This window comes from Homo sapiens, chromosome 10 (assembly GCF_000001405.40).
Source record: "Homo sapiens chromosome 10, GRCh38.p14 Primary Assembly".
Lineage (NCBI taxonomy): Eukaryota > Metazoa > Chordata > Mammalia > Primates > Hominidae > Homo > Homo sapiens.
The window spans coordinates 122,609,531-122,630,491 of NC_000010.11; the positions used below are offsets into that span (position 1 = coordinate 122,609,531).

The following is a 20,961-nucleotide window of genomic DNA, read 5'->3' on the forward strand; positions in this document are numbered from 1 at the left end:
AGAAGGCAGAGAGGACCATGCAGGTGCCAATGAGCTCCTGAATTCGGAGGGGGTCTGGGCTTGTCATTTGTAGCTGTGTATCTCCATCCTTTGTGTACCCAGAGTGGGGAATGGGGTGTCCATTCCTGTCCCCTCCTCTGGGGTCATACATGCTTACCCATAGCTTGAGCTTTTATAGACTTGAGTAGAATAGGGCATCACTTTTTCCACTATGACAAAGTTTAACCTCTGGGTGCAGCTATCTTCCATCATGACTGCATGCCCTGGTGACTTCTGCATTCGTATTGAAACTTGACTACTTTGCCCACTGCCCTGATTGTTGTCCATGCCTTATCCTTGACCTCATATTTGAGATGGATGAAGCGTTCTTGTGTTCCCCTGTAGGATCTGAATCCAGTTTGGCCCTGAGGCTGGTGAATGGAGGTGACAGGTGTCAGGGCCGAGTGGAGGTCCTATACCGAGGCTCCTGGGGCACCGTGTGTGATGACTACTGGGACACCAATGATGCCAATGTGGTTTGCAGGCAGCTGGGCTGTGGCTGGGCCACGTCAGCCCCAGGAAATGCCCGGTTTGGCCAGGGTTCAGGACCCATTGTCCTGGATGATGTGCGCTGCTCAGGACATGAGTCCTATCTGTGGAGCTGCCCCCACAATGGCTGGCTCTCCCACAACTGTGGCCATCATGAAGACGCTGGTGTCATCTGCTCAGGTGGGCCTCCAAGACCTTCGGCTCCCTCTCCTAGGTTGGAGTTTGCTCAGGAAGAAAATCCTAATTACATTATGATCTCCTCTGAACTCACAGATTCTTCTATGTTTCTTGTATTTATGCAGCCTTGTTAGCTCCCTGCTAAGAATCTGTATGAATTTTGCTACAGCGGTTGGTGTTCATGTGGTCACTTAGGACAGGGGACCAAAGTCAAACAACAACCCAGACTTTATCCCCTTCCTGAGGCAGTGCAAGGAAGAGGCAGAAGAGAAAACTGCTGGCTCCCCAGGGCTCCATTTCTTCCCTGCTGAGTAGCAGTGGTTGAGGGTATCATGGACATAGGACAGACAGCGGGGCAGAGGAGGGATCCTCTCACTGTGAGGAACTCTGAACCAAAGATGCTTGTCTGGAAGTGGGTTCTCAGCTGAGACCCAGTGAGGAGGTCTGGAAACAGAGGCTCAAGGGTTAGGAGTGCAAAATGGGTGTCTGGTTCTATCAGGCCTGGGTTGTGTGAGGTTGGAGTCCTTGACCTCAGGTCCTCTCAGAACGCTGCAGAGCACTGCCTTGCCCTGGGTCTGGTGTGGGGAGGGCAGCCCCCATGAGACTGGCCAGGCTTGGCCTCATTATTGCCTGTGGTCGGGGCTTGAAGATCACACAAGGGATTTTGGCTGGAGTGGCTTCCTCAGCCTTGCTGACTCAGGAACACCTAAGATGTGCAAGGGAGTGGGTTGGTTTAGGTCAACTGGGTTACCCTGCGCAGACACAATTTGATCTCCTCAGAGCTGGCAATAGTGGACAGGATCTGCCTCAACCCCTTACACGGTGCATCTCTGTGGGGATGTGCATGGCAATGTCCCTCCCTGTGTGATAGGAACTAGGATGGACTGAGTGTCAGACTCGCCCATTTCTTTCCCTCCTCATTCCAGTTTTGTCGACTTCTGTGTAACATTCCTGATCTGACCTTCTCTTCTCTTTCTCACAGCTTCCCAGTCCCAGCCGACACCCAGCCCAGGTAAGTTCCCAGTGTCCTTCCTCAAAATGTCCCTTCTCTTTCTGCCCAATCACCCCTTCCCCACTCCACAGAGCTCTCCTGTTTCTCTGTGTGGATACTGTGGGGCATATTATTTCTACCGCCACCACCGGCTGTATTTCACATGGGTCCTTTTCTATTTTCCCTAAGTGTCAGCCGGTCTGAGAAATAAAGGGAAGGCATACAAAAGAGCAAAATTTTAAAGCTGGGTGTTGGGGGGAGACATCACATGTCAGCAGGTTCCGTGATCCCTCCTGAGTAGCAAAACCAGCAAGTTTTTATTGGTGATTTTCAAAAGGGGAGGGAGTGCACAAATAGGGTGTGGGTCACAGAGATCACATCCTTCACAAGGTAATAAAATATCACAAGGTAAATGGAGGCAGGGCAAGATCACAGGACTGGGGTGAAATTAAAATTGCTAATGAAGTTTCGGGCACGCATTGTCATTGAAAACATTTTATCAGGAGACAGGGTTTGAGAGCAGACAACTGGTCTGACCAAAATTTATTAGGAGGCAATTTCCTCATCCTAATAAGCCTGGAAGCGCTACGGGGGACCGGGGCTTATTTCATCCCTTATCTGTAAGCGTAAAAGACAGACGTTCCCAAAGCGGCCATTTCAGAGGCCTCCCCTTAGGAACACATTCTCTTTCTCAGGGATGTTCCTTGCTGAGAAAAGGAATTCAGCGATATTTCTCCTATTTGCTTTTGAAGGAAGAGAAATGTGGCTCTGTTCTGCCTGGCCCACAGGCAGCCAGCCTTTAAGGTTATCTCCCTTGTTCCCTGAACAACGCTGTTATCCTGTTCTTTTTTCACAGTGCCCAGATTTCATATTGTTTAAACAATTTCTGCAGTTAACGCAATCATCACAGGGTCCTGAGGTGACATTCATCCTCAGTTTATGAAGAAGATGGGATTAAGAGATTAAAGTAAAGACAGGCATAGGAAATCACAAGAGTATTGATTGGGGAAGTGATAAGTGTCCATGAAATCTTCACAATTTATGTTCAGAGATTGCAGTAAAGACAGGCGTAAGAAATTATAAAAATATTAATTTGGGGAACTAATAAATGTCCATGAAATCTTCAAATTTATGTTCTTGTGCCATGGCCTCAGCCGGTCCCTCTGTTTGGGGTCCCTGACTTCCCGCAACACAGCACAGTGCTTTGAAAACACACATAGGATTCAGGAGGCCTCTGTCTTCTTTTCAACCCCTCTCAGCTTTCATGAAACAGTTTCATACTGTCCCAGTGGACAGCCCTTACAGGTTCAGGAAGTGGCCCCATGTTTAATGAGTTTTGGTCCTTTTATATTCAGGACTCACATATAGTTTCGAAAATTGAGGGTGTCACCCTCTGACCTGTTCAAGGCATTGTCAGGGCAGGCTCGATACCCCCATCCATCACTGCTGGAAAAATTCTGAGATTATGATGGACCACATTTGTATCCAGAAGAGGCAGGGTTTGTGCTTGGGCAGGGAAAGGGATAATAAAGGTTTGTAGTGTCTCTGCTTAGCCAGAAACCTGATTCCTGATTGTCCCCTGGGCAGCCCCTGGTTCCCCTAACATTTTATCTGCCAGTGTCTGAGCCTCAGCAATGGCATCTGATGTCCTAGTCAGTCCATGCATCAGCAGATGTGGGATTGCATGGTGGGGGGCATCCTCTAACAGATAGAAAGATACCCCAGGATTAGAGAAATGGAGGGCTCAGTCTGGTCTCCAGCAGGACCTTTGTTCATGGATGAGTTCACAGCAGAGGAGACCTGGGAAGACACATGGGAAGCAAGTGGCAGGAACAGGAAGTGGAATTGTTGCCAGGTGGATTCCCCCTCCCAGAGAACCTTTTGTTCTGCACCTTTTCCCTTCAAGTCTAATTCTGTCTTTTCCTTTGTTGCAATTTACAGACACTTGGCCAACCTCACATGCATCAACAGCAGGTAAATAATCCTCTCACCCCTCCCTAGGGCTCACTGTCTCTGGACATATTTTGTGTTTGAAACTGATAGGATGAGGCTCAAGGTGGGCCCCTCTTTTTTCACTCCCCTGTGGGTTGCGTGGGAGGAAGGTGGAATCTCTGAGGAGCCAGTGCTGGGTCTGATGTTTGAGGATGGAGGGTGCTGGTGACTGTCTCCCATGGAATCCTGTTCCAAGTGGTCAGGAAAGATCCTCATCCAGGTGCTCAGGATGAGCACTGGAGGGCTCCTTAATCCTACTGGGACCTCGTTCCTGGCCCTCAGGCCATGGGATCCAGATCTCTGAAGAGCAGGTGAAAGTGCCAGTCTCTGCACTTGTGTGGCCAAGGTCTTGCCATCACTGGCAAATTGCCAGAAGGCAGAGAGGACCATGCAGGTGCCAATGAGCTCCTGAATTCGGAGGGGGTCTGGGCTTGTCATTTGTAGCTGTGTATCTCCATCCTTTGTGTACCCAGAGTGGGGAATGGGGTGTCCATTCCTGTCCCCTCCTCTGGGGTCATACATGCTTACCCATAGCTTGAGCTTTTATAGACTTGAGTAGAATAGGGCATCACTTTTTCCACTATGACAAAGTTTAACCTCTGGGTGCAGCTATCTTCCATCATGACTGCATGCCCTGGTGACTTCTGCATTCGTATTGAAACTTGACTACTTTGCCCACTGCCCTGATTGTTGTCCATGCCTTATCCTTGACCTCATATTTGAGATGGATGAAGCGTTCTTGTGTTCCCCTGTAGGATCTGAATCCAGTTTGGCCCTGAGGCTGGTGAATGGAGGTGACAGGTGTCAGGGCCGAGTGGAGGTCCTATACCGAGGCTCCTGGGGCACCGTGTGTGATGACTACTGGGACACCAATGATGCCAATGTGGTTTGCAGGCAGCTGGGCTGTGGCTGGGCCACGTCAGCCCCAGGAAATGCCCGGTTTGGCCAGGGTTCAGGACCCATTGTCCTGGATGATGTGCGCTGCTCAGGACATGAGTCCTATCTGTGGAGCTGCCCCCACAATGGCTGGCTCTCCCACAACTGTGGCCATCATGAAGACGCTGGTGTCATCTGCTCAGGTGGGCCTCCAAGACCTTCGGCTCCCTCTCCTAGGTTGGAGTTTGCTCAGGAAGAAAATCCTAATTACATTATGATCTCCTCTGAACTCACAGATTCTTCTATGTTTCTTGTATTTATGCAGCCTTGTTAGCTCCCTGCTAAGAATCTGTATGAATTTTGCTACAGCGGTTGGTGTTCATGTGGTCACTTAGGACAGGGGACCAAAGTCAAACAACAACCCAGACTTTATCCCCTTCCTGAGGCAGTGCAAGGAAGAGGCAGAAGAGAAAACTGCTGGCTCCCCAGGGCTCCATTTCTTCCCTGCTGAGTAGCAGTGGTTGAGGGTATCATGGACATAGGACAGACAGCGGGGCAGAGGAGGGATCCTCTCACTGTGAGGAACTCTGAACCAAAGATGCTTGTCTGGAAGTGGGTTCTCAGCTGAGACCCAGTGAGGAGGTCTGGAAACAGAGGCTCAAGGGTTAGGAGTGCAAAATGGGTGTCTGGTTCTATCAGGCCTGGGTTGTGTGAGGTTGGAGTCCTTGACCTCAGGTCCTCTCAGAACGCTGCAGAGCACTGCCTTGCCCTGGGTCTGGTGTGGGGAGGGCAGCCCCCATGAGACTGGCCAGGCTTGGCCTCATTATTGCCTGTGGTCGGGGCTTGAAGATCACACAAGGGATTTTGGCTGGAGTGGCTTCCTCAGCCTTGCTGACTCAGGAACACCTAAGATGTGCAAGGGAGTGGGTTGGTTTAGGTCAACTGGGTTACCCTGCGCAGACACAATTTGATCTCCTCAGAGCTGGCAATAGTGGACAGGATCTGCCTCAACCCCTTACACGGTGCATCTCTGTGGGGATGTGCATGGCAATGTCCCTCCCTGTGTGATAGGAACTAGGATGGACTGAGTGTCAGACTCGCCCATTTCTTTCCCTCCTCATTCCAGTTTTGTCGACTTCTGTGTAACATTCCTGATCTGACCTTCTCTTCTCTTTCTCACAGCTTCCCAGTCCCAGCCGACACCCAGCCCAGGTAAGTTCCCAGTGTCCTTCCTCAAAATGTCCCTTCTCTTTCTGCCCAATCACCCCTTCCCCACTCCACAGAGCTCTCCTGTTTCTCTGTGTGGATACTGTGGGGCATATTATTTCTACCGCCACCACCGGCTGTATTTCACATGGGTCCTTTTCTATTTTCCCTAAGTGTCAGCCGGTCTGAGAAATAAAGGGAAGGCATACAAAAGAGCAAAATTTTAAAGCTGGGTGTTGGGGGGAGACATCACATGTCAGCAGGTTCCGTGATCCCTCCTGAGTAGCAAAACCAGCAAGTTTTTATTGGTGATTTTCAAAAGGGGAGGGAGTGCACAAATAGGGTGTGGGTCACAGAGATCACATCCTTCACAAGGTAATAAAATATCACAAGGTAAATGGAGGCAGGGCAAGATCACAGGACTGGGGTGAAATTAAAATTGCTAATGAAGTTTCGGGCACGCATTGTCATTGAAAACATTTTATCAGGAGACAGGGTTTGAGAGCAGACAACTGGTCTGACCAAAATTTATTAGGAGGCAATTTCCTCATCCTAATAAGCCTGGAAGCGCTACGGGGGACCGGGGCTTATTTCATCCCTTATCTGTAAGCGTAAAAGACAGACGTTCCCAAAGCGGCCATTTCAGAGGCCTCCCCTTAGGAACACATTCTCTTTCTCAGGGATGTTCCTTGCTGAGAAAAGGAATTCAGCGATATTTCTCCTATTTGCTTTTGAAGGAAGAGAAATGTGGCTCTGTTCTGCCTGGCCCACAGGCAGCCAGCCTTTAAGGTTATCTCCCTTGTTCCCTGAACAACGCTGTTATCCTGTTCTTTTTTCACAGTGCCCAGATTTCATATTGTTTAAACAATTTCTGCAGTTAACGCAATCATCACAGGGTCCTGAGGTGACATTCATCCTCAGTTTATGAAGAAGATGGGATTAAGAGATTAAAGTAAAGACAGGCATAGGAAATCACAAGAGTATTGATTGGGGAAGTGATAAGTGTCCATGAAATCTTCACAATTTATGTTCAGAGATTGCAGTAAAGACAGGCGTAAGAAATTATAAAAATATTAATTTGGGGAACTAATAAATGTCCATGAAATCTTCAAATTTATGTTCTTGTGCCATGGCCTCAGCCGGTCCCTCTGTTTGGGGTCCCTGACTTCCCGCAACACAGCACAGTGCTTTGAAAACACACATAGGATTCAGGAGGCCTCTGTCTTCTTTTCAACCCCTCTCAGCTTTCATGAAACAGTTTCATACTGTCCCAGTGGACAGCCCTTACAGGTTCAGGAAGTGGCCCCATGTTTAATGAGTTTTGGTCCTTTTATATTCAGGACTCACATATAGTTTCGAAAATTGAGGGTGTCACCCTCTGACCTGTTCAAGGCATTGTCAGGGCAGGCTCGATACCCCCATCCATCACTGCTGGAAAAATTCTGAGATTATGATGGACCACATTTGTATCCAGAAGAGGCAGGGTTTGTGCTTGGGCAGGGAAAGGGATAATAAAGGTTTGTAGTGTCTCTGCTTAGCCAGAAACCTGATTCCTGATTGTCCCCTGGGCAGCCCCTGGTTCCCCTAACATTTTATCTGCCAGTGTCTGAGCCTCAGCAATGGCATCTGATGTCCTAGTCAGTCCATGCATCAGCAGATGTGGGATTGCATGGTGGGGGGCATCCTCTAACAGATAGAAAGATACCCCAGGATTAGAGAAATGGAGGGCTCAGTCTGGTCTCCAGCAGGACCTTTGTTCATGGATGAGTTCACAGCAGAGGAGACCTGGGAAGACACATGGGAAGCAAGTGGCAGGAACAGGAAGTGGAATTGTTGCCAGGTTGATTCCCCCTCCCAGAGAACCTTTTGTTCTGTGCCTTTTCCCTTCAAGTCTAATTCTGTCTTTTTTCTTTGTTGCTATTTACAGACACTTGGCCAACCTCTCGTGCATCAACAGCAGGTAAACAATCCTCTCACCCCTCCCTAGGGCTCACTATCTCTGGACATATTTTGTGTTTGAAACTGATAGGATGAGGCTCAAGGTGGGCCCCTCTCTTTTCATGTCCCTGTGGGTTGGGTGGGAGGAAGGTGGAGTTTCTAGGGAGTCAGCCCTGGGTTTGATGTTTGAGGATGGAGGGTGCTGGTGACTGTCTCTCATGGGACCCTGTTCCAAGTGTTCAGGAACGATCCTCATCCAGGTGCTCAGGACGAGCACTGGAAGGCTCCCTAATCCTGCTGGGACCTCTTTCCTGGCCCTCTGACCACGCACTGCAGACCTGCAAGGGTGGGTGAAAATTTCTGTCCCTGCAGCTGTCTGGCCAAGTCCTTGCCATCCCTGGAAATTTGCCAGAAACCAGAGAGGACCATGTGGATGCCACCAAACTCTTAAACATGGGGCCAGCATGGGCCTGCTCTCTGGAGCTGTGGAGCTCCATCCTGTGTGTGCCCAGAGTAGGGAGTGGGGCATTCATTCCTGTCACTTCCAGTGGGGTCACAGGTGCTTCCCCAAAATCTGAGCCTCCATAAACCCAGGCAGCATAGTGTATCACCTCTCCTTTCCCTATGATAAAGCTGAACCTCCGGTAGCAGTTGTATGCAATTGTGACTGCTTGCCCAGGTGACTCTGGCCATTAGGAAGTACCCTGAGTGTGGAACTTGCCTTAGATTGTTGACCTCCTGGTGGGGATGGATGAAGGGTTCTTGTGTTCCCCTGTAGGATCTGAATCCACTTTGGCCCTGAGACTGGTGAATGGAGGTGACAGGTGTCGAGGCCGAGTGGAGGTCCTATACCAAGGCTCCTGGGGCACCGTGTGTGATGACTACTGGGACACCAATGATGCCAACGTGGTCTGCAGGCAGCTGGGCTGTGGCTGGGCCATGTCAGCCCCAGGAAATGCCCAGTTTGGCCAGGGCTCAGGACCCATTGTCCTGGATGATGTGCGCTGCTCAGGACACGAGTCTTACCTGTGGAGCTGCCCCCACAATGGCTGGCTCTCCCACAACTGTGGCCATCATGAAGATGCTGGTGTCATCTGCTCAGGTGGGCTTTCAAGACCTTGGGCTCCCTCTCTTAAGTTGAAGTTTGCTCAGGAAGAAAATCCTAATTACATTCTGATCTCCTCACTCAAAGCTTTTTCTATGTTTTCTATATTTCTGAAGTCTTGTTAGCTCTCTGCTAAGAATCTTTATGAATTTTGCTACAGTACCTGGTGCAGCTGTGGCCACTTAGGCCAGGGCTCCGAACTGAAACAACAACCCAGACTTTATCCCCATCCTGAGGCAGTGCAAGGAAGAGGCAGAAGAGAAAAGTGCTGGCTCCCCACGGCTCCATTTCTTCCCTGCTGAGTAGCACTGGTTGAGGGTATCGTGGACACAGCACAGATAGCAGGGGCAGGGAGGGATCCTCTCACTACAAGGAACTGTGAACTAAAGATGCTTGTCTGGAAGTGGGTTCTCAGCTGAGACCCAGTGAGGAGGTCTGGAAATAGAGGCTCAAGGGTTAGGAGTGCAAATGCATGTCTGTTTGTGTCAGGCCTGCTTGGAGTCCTTGACCTCAGGTCCTCTAAGAATGCTGCAGAGCACTGCCTGTGCCCCAGGTCTGGTGTGGGGAGGGCAGCCCCCATGAGTCTGGCCAGGCATGGCCTTGTTATTGCCTGTGGTCGGGGCTGTAAGATCACACAAGGCATTTGGGCTGGAGTGGCCTCCTCAGCCTTGCTGACTCAGGAACTGCCAAAACATCCAAGGGAGAGTGTTGGTTTTGGGTCAACCTGGTCACCCTGGGCAGACACAAAGTTACTCACCTCGGAGCTGACAATAGTGGCCAGGATCTGCCTGCACCCCTTATATGGTGCATCTCTGTGGGAATTTACATGGCAATGCCCCTCCCTCTGTGATAGGGACTAGGATGGACTGAGTGTCAGGCTTGCCCAGTTCCTTCTATCTTTGTTCCAGTTTTGCCATTTTCTGTATAGTGCATCTGATCTGACCTTCTCTTCTCTTTCTCACAGCTGCTCAGTCCCAGTCAACGCCCAGGCCAGGTGAGTCCCCAGCATCCTTCATCGGGATGTCCCTTCTCTTTCTGCCCAGTTACCTCTTCCCCACTCCACAGAGCTCTCCTGCTTTTCTGTGCGGATACTGTGGGGCATATTATTTTTCCTCCCACCACTCTGTAACTGAGACCCCAGCATAGTGCTTCAACAGACATAGGGTTCAGGAGGCTTCTGTCTTCTGTTCAATTTATTTCAGGTTTCATGAAGCAGTTTCATACTGTACAATGGACAAGCCTTACAGGTTCAGGAAGTGGCCTCATGTTTAATGAGCTTTAGCTCATTTATATTCAGAGCTGATACAACCTTTCTGAGAATTGAGAGTGACTGCCAAAGTCACCTGGGAAGGCAATGTCAGTTCAAGCCTTAAACATGACTTCTGCCATGGGCAAGCAATGTCAGTGCAGGCCTGATACCTCCGTCCCTCACTCCTTCAAATACCCCAGATTTTGCAAGGCCATATCTGCATCCAGAAAAGGCAGAGGCCATGCTCGGGCAGGGAGAGGGATAATAAATATTTCTGGTGCCTCCACTTATCAGGAAACTTGATACCCCTTTGGGCGGCTCCTTGGTTCCCCTAACATTTTAGCTCGAACTGTCAGAGTCTCAGCAATGGTGTCACATGTGCCCATCAGTCCATGTGTCACTGGATGGGGCAGGCTAACCCTTCGTAGCTGAGAAGAGGACATCTCACACTTCAGAGGTAGGAGGGATCGAACTGGTCTCCAGCAAGGCCTTTGTTCCTGGCTGTGCTCACTGAGCTGAAGACTTGGGTAGCACTTGGAGCAAGTGGCAGGAACCAGAAATTGAATAGTTTTCATGATGCTTGCCTGGTTCAGAGATTTTTTTTTGTAGCTTTCCTCCCTCAAGTCTAATTTTGTCCTTTCTCTTTGTTGCAATTTACAGATACTTGGCTGACCACCAACTTACCGGCATTGACAGTAGGTAAATAATCCTCTCGCCCCTCCCTAGGGCTCACTCTCTACCTCTGGACAAACGTTTCTTTTGAAAATGAAAGAATGAGGCTCAAGCTGGCGCCTCTGTTTTTCATGTTTCCGCGAGTTGCCTGGGGAGGTAGACTCCCTGGGAACCTAGTCCTGGGTCAGATGTTGGAGGCTGGAGGGTGCTGGTGACCTGTCTCCCCTGGGATTCTGTTTTATGTAGTCAGGAAAGATCCTCAGCCAGGTGCTCAGGACAAGCCCTGGAGGGCTCCCTAATCCTACTGGGACCTTGTTCCTGGCCCTCAGGCCACAGGCTGCAGACCTGCGAATAGTGGGGAAAGTGCCTGTCCCCATAGCTGTCTGGCCAATGTCCTACCATTCCTGGCACTTTGCTAGAAGCCAGAGAGGATCATGTGGGTGCCACCAAACTCCTGAACGTGAGGCAGGTCTTGGCCTCCTATCTGGAGCTGTGCAGCTTCATCCTGTGTGAGAATGGAGCTCAGAATGAGGAGTGAGGCGTCCATTCCTGTCACCTCCAGTGGGGTCACAGGTGCTTCCCCAATACTTGAGCTTCCATAGACTTGGGTGGAGTAGGACATCACTGCTTCTTCCACTATCATGAAGCTGAACCTCTGTCTGTATTCATATTCAAAGGTGATTACCTGCACACGTGACTTTGGCCATTAGGAAGTGCCCTGAGTGTGGAACATTCCTTAAATCCTTGACCTCATAATCAGTATGGATGAAGGGTTCTTGTGTTCCCCTGTAGGATCTGAATCCAGTTTGGCTCTGAGGCTGGTGAATGGAGGTGACAGGTGTCGAGGCCGAGTGGAGGTCCTGTATCGAGGCTCCTGGGGAACCGTGTGTGATGACAGCTGGGACACCAATGATGCCAATGTGGTCTGCAGGCAGCTGGGCTGTGGCTGGGCCATGTCGGCCCCAGGAAATGCCCGGTTTGGCCAGGGCTCAGGACCCATTGTCCTGGATGATGTGCGCTGCTCAGGGAATGAGTCCTACCTGTGGAGCTGCCCCCACAAAGGCTGGCTCACCCACAACTGTGGCCATCACGAAGACGCTGGTGTCATCTGCTCAGGTGGGCCTTCAAGACCTGGGGCTCCCTCTCTTGGGGTGGAGTTTGCTCCAGAAGAAACTCCTAATTACATTCTGATCTCCTCACTCAAAGCTTCTCCTGTGTTTCCTGTGTTTTTGAAGACTTGTTAGCTCTCTGCTAAGAATCCATATGAATTCACTGCCTAGTGTTCCTGTGGTCACTTAGGACAGGGGACCAAACTGAAACAACAACCCAGACTTTATCCCCTTCCTGAGGCAGTGCAAGGAAGAGGCAGAAGAAAAAATTTCTGGCTCCCCAGGGCTCCATTTCTCCCCTACTGAGTAGCACTGGGTGAGGGTATGGTGGACACAGCACAGACAGCGGGGCAGAGGAGGGATCCTCTCCTTAGGAGGAGGCTCATGGTAAGGAAAGGACATATGTTGGGGTAGGGAATTCTCACTTGAGGCCCCAGTAAGGAGCATTTGGATTGGAGGCATATGGGCTAAGAGTGCAAACGGGTATCTGTGCATGTGTGACCTGGGTCTTGGTCAGTTTCAGCTCCTTCCAAAGAACTGCAGTGCATTGTGTGTCTAGCAAGCATGGTGTTGGGAGGGCAGCTCCCATGAGATCTGCCAGGCAAAGCCTTGTTATTACGTGTGGTTTGGGATGGAAGATCACACAGGGGATTTTTGCTGGAGTGGTATCCTGAGACTTGCTGACTTGGTGAATTGCTAAAACCTGCAAGGGAAAGGGTTGGTTTTGGTTCAATTGGACATCACATCCAGACACAGAGTTAATTGCCTTGGAGCTGGAAATGGTGGACAGAATCTGCTTGGATCCCTTATAAGGAGCGTCTTTGAATCCAGCCAAAGCACTAGCATTCAGCAGGTCTGGGTGAAACTCCTGGGTCTTGCTTGAAGCCTCTGGCCGCTCCCTACCTCAATCAATGTGGTATCTACCAGTTGTCAATTGATCTTTAAAGAGGATCTATTATTAGGGATGCTTTTGTTTGCACATGGCAGGAACTCAACTCAAACACTCTTAAGCTAGAAAGGAATTCATTGTCTCAGTTATCCAGAATGTTTAGTGGTGGATCTGGAGCTTCAGGTACAGCTGGTTCCAGAAGTTCCAAGTCTTTTTTCCCCATGCTTTGCTTACATCTACTCTTTTATCTGTGTGGGCTTCACTATCAACTTGCTTTTTGCATGTGGCTGAGAGACAGCAGTGGGCAGCCCCAAGTCTATATCCCACCAGGAGAAGGAGTCAGTCTGTCCCAGTACCTCTGGCTGACAAGGCCTGGGAGGACTTTGATTGACCTGCTTGTAAACAGGTGCTTTCTTCCAAACCATCTCTATTAGCTCTGACGGCTCAGCCAGAGTTCTATACCCATCTTTGTGTTCCTTTGGGGCGACGGGAAGGATGGGGGCACTAGGCTCTACTTGAATCTTGTAGGATGCTACTTTTTAAAATAGGAATGACTGTTTCTATTAGAATAAAAAACAGGCAGGATGTTTGTGACAGAGATAGCCATCCCTCAGTTGGACCCTTCCTTTCTTTTGATACTATCTGCTCTTTGCTGGTTGACGTTACCCCTCTATCCTGAGATGGAACCTTCCCTCTCCCTGGCTGTTGCCCATGTTCATTACCATCATCTCTATCTAGTTCCAGGACTTTTTCATTATCCCCAACTGAAAGCTCTTACCCCTTAACCATTCATAATCCATTTCTCTTTCCCTCAGCCCCTGGCAACCACTAATCTGCTTTCTGCCTCTGTATACAGATTTTACTAAGAATTGTGGTCACTTTCTATGAATGGAATCATAGCCTTTTCTGTCTGGCTTCATTCACTTAACATAATGTTTTCAAGGTTCATTCATATTTTAGCATGTGTCAGAACTCCACTACTTTTAACTGCCAACTAATATTCCATTGTATGGCTACGCCATCTTTGTCTATCCATTTATCAGCTTATGGACATATGGGTTGCTTCCATCTTTTGGCTGTTGTGAATAAGTCTGCTATGAGAATTAGTGTACGGTTTTTTGTTTGCACTTGTGTTTCCAATTTTGGGAGATATATACCTAGGAGTGGGATTGCTCGGTAATAGGGTAATTATGTTTAATTTATTGTGGAAACACTGAACAGTTGCCACAGCTGCTGCACCAAATTTGCATTCCCCCAAGCAATGCCTGAGAATTCTGATTCCTCCGTATCCTCACCAACACTTGTTATGATGTCTTTTTCATCATGGCCATCCTAGTGGGTGTAAGGTGGTATTTCATGGTGTTTTGATTTGCATTTCCTTGATGACTAATGATGTTGAGCATCTTTTCATGTGTTGGTGGGCCCTTTGTATATATTCTTGGGAGAACAGGGGCTTCATTTTATAGATACTAAGCTGAAGGCCAGAGGAACTAGACTAATGTCAGTATCTTAGCCCAGGCTCACAGGACAGGGTTCAGGTACACAGAGGGATCAGGATGCCTGGCCCAGTGTTGTGTCTAGCATGTGACATTCCTTCATGGAGGCCTAACTCTGCCATTTTTTCTCCATTCTCAGGCATAGGCACTGCTAGGTATGCACAACTAAGTGTCCTCATAGTTGCTTCTGCCCACTGTCCCTGTAGCTCATGGTATTCAGTAGGTCCAGGTTTTGTTTCAGATTGAAGGCAAGCTGTGGGTTTGAAAGTGACTCAGGAATAAGCCTCGGGCCTGATGGGGTGGTCCCTGTGAGCAGAGTGAGTCAGCCAGAGGTGGAGAGGTGGACTCTCCCAAGAACCAGGTCCTAGGGCTGCACCTTGCCAGGCAGCTGGGAGCTGGTCTCGGTTGCATCCTGCTGCAGGGGCACTTGAGCCCAGTGGTCCCTGCAGATCCATGCTGATGGCTCCTGCACTTTAACCTCTGAATCTGAAGGCCTGGCTCAGCACTTGAATTGCTGGTCACTGGGGTAACTCCATCAGAGAACATGCACAGCTCAGTCCACACCCAAGGGTTCTAGAAAACAACCCTTAAGTTGATGAAGAACATCAACTTAAAATGATGAAGAACAGGCTTCCGTCAATGTCTATGCTGCTGGAGAACATTAACTGGAGACCCAGAAACCTTGGCCTTCTGGAAGAATTCTGAACTTCACTTGACCTCAGATCCTCTTCCTTTAGGAGATACAGGAGAGAGTTAATTTTCCTGTCTTTTCTAGAATCCAATTCTGGTTTGGCCCTGAGGCTGGTGAATGGAGGTGACCAGTGTCAGGGCCAGGTGGAGGTCCTGTACCAAGTCTCCTGGGGCACCGTGTATGATGACACCAATGACGCCAATGTGGTCTGCAGGCAGCTGGGCCGTGGCTGGGCCGTGGCATTCCCAGGAAATGCCTGGTTTGATCAGGGCTCAGGACCCATTGTCCTGGATGATGTGTGCTGCTCAGGGAATGAGTCCTAACTGTGGAGCTGCCCGCACAATGGCTGGCTCTCCCACAGCTGTCAGCACAGTGAAGATGCTGTGTCATCTGTTCAGATGGGCCTCCAAGACCTTGGGCCTCTATTTTAGTGTGTGGTTTTCTCCATGACAAGGCTTCTCTTTGCACTGGCCTCTTCCCAGCCTGAGCTTCTCTTCAAGATGGCCAGTTTCTCTGATACCTCAGCAAGGCAATAACCTCAGCAAATGTTGTTGGCGTCTTTGAATTTTATGGGTAGGCACTAGCTTCTTTCTTATGTAGGTTCCTATAGCAAACAAGGGTTCAATCTACTTTCAGGCTGTAAGAATGAATTCTTCCAACATCTTTTTTTGAGACTAACCGTTAAGGTTTATATCTACTATTCCACTCTCCTGGATGACTCTTGGGGAGCATTTCTAAGTGATGAGATGGGGACAGGCACTCAGCATTTCTCTCGCTCATCATCCTGGGCACTGGGACTGACTCATGTTTTCTTCTTTTCCTTGCAGCCACCCAAATAAATTCTACTACGACAGGTGAGTCTGCTACACCCCAGTCCAGCAATATTTCTCTTGGGAATTCCACCCTCTCTTGTTTCCAGAAGTAGGAGGAGTAGGGTAGACTCCCCCTGGGGGGGTAATTTCTCTCTGAGGACTCTGATCTTTGTTAGGGTGACGAGCTGAGTTCCCACTGCCATCACTCTCATGTCTGGTTCACCGTGGAGGGCCCCTGTGGCCTCCTGCTATTGCCTGCTGATAGTGCTAAGTGCTGGCAGAGATGCTGCTGTGGAAGGAGGCTTTGGTCCTCCCATTATTTCAGATGAAAATAACTGTCTAAATTAACCCATGGAAAATTAGGACCTTCATTTTAGAAACATAGCCAAGTAATACTTCTGCACGTATTTGTCAAATAAAGAATACTTTCACTTTGAGGGAGCCATCCGCAAAGCGTTTTTGTGCCACAGTGAAAATATCCTGGGCCAAATATGTTGGGAGGTGCTACATACTCTAGACCTTACTGGCCATGAACAGTGTAAACTGGAATGGTCAAGGCTCTGAGAAGTCCTGTACTAAGGAAAAGGATTTAACTTTGTCAGTCAAACAAATTACTATGGAATGGAAAAATTATCTACTAAAATCCTAAACAGCTTCATTTTTTTTTCTAGATTGGTGGCATCCAACAACTACAACCACTGCAAGTAGGTATCACATTTTCTACCTGAACCATAGGTCATACATTTCTTATCCCCAAGCTTGGCTATCCATGAGCGAATGCTCTGCCCCACCCCAGCCTTCCTCAATCTGCACATAGCCCTGGCCTGTCCCACTATACCCTTCACCTCTTCATTTGAATCAATGAGATAAGTATTCTTAAAATAATAGACTTAAAGGCTTTTATTTTGGGGGGTATCTCCAAAGCTTTAGGAGGAAGAAGGGAGACAAATAGTAAATGGATAATTTTACTACAAATTATGCTTTTCCATGTCATTTTTATTTCACCATATGGCTATGTTTCAATAGATTTTCATTGCTTTTAAAAAATAATAGGGATACTTTTCTGTGTTATTAAATCTTTTCTCACAATCATTTTAAGTCCCTGTATTGTATTCTATTATACAGATATGCCATGAATTATTTGACAAATCATCAGATGCTAGATATTTGTTTGTATTTCTTCATTACTGTAAATGATTTTGTGATGAAGAATATTTTTATAGATAATTTTTTTGCATACCTCACTAATTTTTCCTTTAGGATATAAATGGGTTTACTGGACCAAAGTCAATGTCATTGTAGTGCCTGGTACATAGAATGTACTTCATGCATATTAACTTTTACTGTGTTAGGTATTTTAAGATCTTGCTGTGTGTATGGTCAAACTACCATCAAGAATGGTTGTAAAATTATGGAATGATGTAAGAGACAAACTGATCTTCTTCCTCAGAGCTCACAATATTATTTTGTACACAACAAACTAGAAAATTACAGTTGTGACAACTGTTTCCAAGGAAAAGTTCAGTGTGCAAAGAGGAAGTATTAGTAGAGATCTTCCTTGATTGGGGAGTTAGGGGAAGTTCCTTATGGAAGTGACATTTAAGCTGGGAGTTAATAGAGGAGCAGGTTCATTTGCTGAAGTGTCTTCTAACCAGAAGGGATGCTTTGAAGGCCCTAGGGTGGGAAGGAGCTTGGCTCTTTGAAGGAGGGTGGGGTGCGGGCAAGGAGGGACTGCAGGAAATCTGTCGGGTGAGGCCAGATCATTCAGGGCCTTGTGGGTGGGTTAAGACTCCCATCTTTATCCTAAAGGTAGGGAGGCTGCAGAAAGATTTTAATCTTGAGAATTAGCTAATTGGAAATATATTTGCAAAAGATCATGTTTATCTTTTCTGCCAAACTGCATTTCCTGAAGGCAGGGGCCATGTCTGCCTTTTTCATAATGTATCCTTATTATCTAGCATTGTGTCTGCCTTTCAAGAACTGTTTATTGAAGGAATAAATGAGTGAATGAATGAATGGATAAATTAATGAATAAATACATAATTACTGTTGGCATTTTGGCATACATTCCATACACTGTATACACACACACAAACACACACACACACACAGTATGGCATGCTTTATATCCCATTGTATAACCCATCATTTTCATTTAAGTGTATATAATACTTTTTTCATGACCTTAAAATTAGCATTTTTATAACATTGAAATTATTTGTATAGAAGAAGGTTTAATGACTATATGATTTTCCACTGTATAGATATATCATCATTTAGTTAAACGGTTACTAATTGTGGGGCAAAAACATTGTTTCCAATTATATTTTATAATGTTAAGTGACTATATACAATAGCATATTTTATAACCATTTATATTTAATGATTAGAAATATGTAACTCGTATCCTTGTCTCTGAAAGTTTGACTTTATCCTTAATTATTTCCCAGTGTAGAAATAGAAAGGGAGGGCAGGCCACATGATCTTCAAGAAACACTGTCTTCCCATCAAATGGGAGAACGTATTTCTATCTCATAAGGGACTTGTATCTAGGATATATAAGTGACTCTTGTAGTCAATGATAAAAAGTCAAATAACCCAACTGAACAATGAGCAAAAGACCTGAAAGATATTTCTCTACAGAAGATTCACAGATAGCAGAGAAGGCATTGGAAAGATGCTCAATGTCATTAGCCGTCAGGGTCATGCAAATGAAACACCCAGTAGGTGGGCTGTAGTCAAAAAGCCAGATAATAGCAAGTGTTGATGAGGATGTGGAGAAATTGGAAACCTTATGCACGGCTGCAGGGAATGTAAAATGGTACAGCCACTTTGAGAAGCAGTTTGGTGGCTCCTCGAAAGGTTAGACCTGGAGTCACCATATGACCCAGCAGTTGTATTCCTAGGTATATACCCAGGAGAAATGAAAACATATGTCCATACAGAAACTTGTATGTGAATGTTCAGGACAGCTTTATTCATAGTAGCCAAATGTGAATGCAATGCAAATGTCCATCATGGTGAATCGAGAAACAAATATGATATGTCCATGCAGTGGAGTATTATTTGGCAATAAAAATGAATTTAATAGTGGCCGGGCGCGGTGGCTCATACCTGTAATCCCAGCATTTTGGGAGGCCAAGATGGGCGGATTGGCTGAGGTCAGGACTTCGAGACCAGCCTGGACAACGTGGTGAAACCCTGTCTCTACTAAAAATACAAAAATTAGCTGGGCATAGTGGTGGGCGGCTGTAATCCCAGCTACTTGGGAAGCTGGGGCAGGAGAATCGCTTGAACCCGGGAAGCGGAGGTTGCAGTAAGCTGAGATCGTGCCACTGCACTCCAGCCTGGGTGACAAGAGCGAAACTCCATCTCAAAACAAAACAAAAGAAAAAAAAGAATTTAATATTGATTTATGCTACAACATGATGAACTTTGAAAACACATTGAGAAGTCAGTCAAAAAAACTACCATATTGTACAATTTGTTTTATATGAAATGTCCACAATAGGCAAATCTATAGAGACAGAAAAGTAGATCAGTGGGTGCCAGGAATGGAGGGTGTTGAGAAGAAATGGGGAGTGATTGCTAATGAGTACAGGGTTTCTTTTTGGGGTGATGAAAATAATCTAAAATTGACTGTGGTGATTTCAGAGCTCTCAGTATGCTAAAAACCATGGACTTATCCCCTTAGAAAAAGTAAACAAAGAGTTATGAAAAAGAAAAAAAAAGACGTTTTAATTTCTATCACTGAGTGTGCACATGTTTTTAAAAAGTTTTTATTACTATAAACCAACCAACAAAATGTTTGACCACTTAATATTTATCCTTTTCTGATAAATAACAATAGCTAATATTGCTGGGTGCTTATGTGCCTGGCACTCTCTAAGAGTTTATATAGACATAGAAACCTATCTTATGTTTATGTATAAATGTTCATATATACATATCTTATTTAATACCCTCATCAGACAGATGAGGCAGATGCCATTACCACTCTCATTTTTCTGATGAGGAAACTGAGGCAGAGAGGTTAAGTAACTGGCTCCAGATCATGGAGCTGATAGAGGCAGAGCCAAGATGCAAACCCAGGCTTCTTGTTGCAGAAACCCTGCTCCTAACCCAACGTTGTGCTACTTGTGAATTGGCAGAGTCCTGTGCTCATGGAAGACGCTAGGGAACACACTGTGTTATGGAGTGCTCTCCACGGGTCAGCACTGTGTTCAGCCAGGACTATCCCACGTCCCTGTCTGTAGCTGATTGAACAATGATAGCTGTCACTTTGTTGCTTTCTTGGCATTTTTGCTAGAGGTGACACATGCTCCCTCTGAAGCTTGGGTCACCTCCTCGCAGAGGGTTGCTGTCCAGGCCTAACAGGGAAAGCAGGGACTTGAATCAAAGCTTCTAATGTTGGGCCACCTAGAACCAGGCCCAAGAGAGGGGACTTGTTTACAGGGAAAGTTAAGTCTTGTTATAAAGTGCAGAAGATGAAACTGGATGATACTTACACAGATGATTCCTTGTCACAAAATACCTGAAGACCTGGTACAATGGAGATGTCCCCTCTCTCCTCTCTAGGACCCTCTTCAAATTGTGGTGGCTTCTTATTCTATGCCAGTGGGACATTCTCCAGCCCATCCTACCCTGCATACTACCCCAACAATGCTAAGTGTGTTTGGGAAATAGAAGTGAATTCTGGTTATCGCATAAACCTGGGCTTCAGTAATCTGAAGTAAGTAATGCCTGGTCATCTGGTGAGGGGTGAGTTCCTCTGCAGCACACCCACTGGTTTAGACTGTGTCCTGGGCTGGGATGCTTTTCACTCTCATGTGCCATGGACAAGCTTTTGGTGGCTTTGATTCCTACCATAAAGCATCAGGGAACACTGATGTCCTTTGACTTAATTGAGGAAGAGCTAGAAGAAAAACCTGTATTCAATGGCATCCCTCGTAAAGTGCAAACTATTTATAAAATGGAGGGGCAATAGGAATTTCAATGTTGACTTGAATACATTTTCTCCATACAGATTGGAGGCACACCATAACTGCAGTTTTGATTATGTTGAAATCTTTGATGGATCATTGAATAGCAGTCTCCTGCTGGGGAAAATCTGTAATGATACCAGGCAAATATTTACATCTTCTTACAACCGAATGACCATTCACTTTCGAAGTGACATCAGTTTCCAAAACACTGGCTTTTTGGCTTGGTATAACTCCTTCCCAAGCGG

The 20,961-nt window shown here is 47.0% G+C and overlaps 1 protein-coding gene across 5 annotated transcripts in view; it reads left to right on the top strand.

Annotated features, from left to right (window-relative positions):
• The window catches only part of DMBT1 (deleted in malignant brain tumors 1), an 82,983-nt gene that overhangs the window by 48,777 nt on the left and 13,245 nt on the right, over positions 1-20,961 (top strand). For 3 of the 5 annotated variants that reach the window (NM_007329.3, NM_001320644.2, NM_017579.3), the window contains 11 exons: positions 385-708; positions 1,688-1,717; positions 7,698-7,730; positions 8,487-8,810; positions 9,778-9,807; positions 10,723-10,761; positions 11,527-11,850; positions 15,747-15,773; positions 16,403-16,435; positions 20,310-20,463; positions 20,758-20,960. In NM_007329.3, the coding sequence (NP_015568.2) occupies positions 385-708; positions 1,688-1,717; positions 7,698-7,730; positions 8,487-8,810; positions 9,778-9,807; positions 10,723-10,761; positions 11,527-11,850; positions 15,747-15,773; positions 16,403-16,435; positions 20,310-20,463; positions 20,758-20,960 (1,521 nt within the window). Of the gene's footprint in view, positions 1-384; positions 709-1,687; positions 1,718-3,637; positions 3,671-4,443; positions 4,768-5,746; positions 5,777-7,697; positions 7,731-8,486; positions 8,811-9,777; positions 9,808-10,722; positions 10,762-11,526; positions 11,851-15,746; positions 15,774-16,402; positions 16,436-20,309; positions 20,464-20,757; position 20,961 lie in introns of all 5 variants that reach the window. The other 2 variants (NM_001377530.1, NM_004406.3) reach the window with 2 other exon arrangements.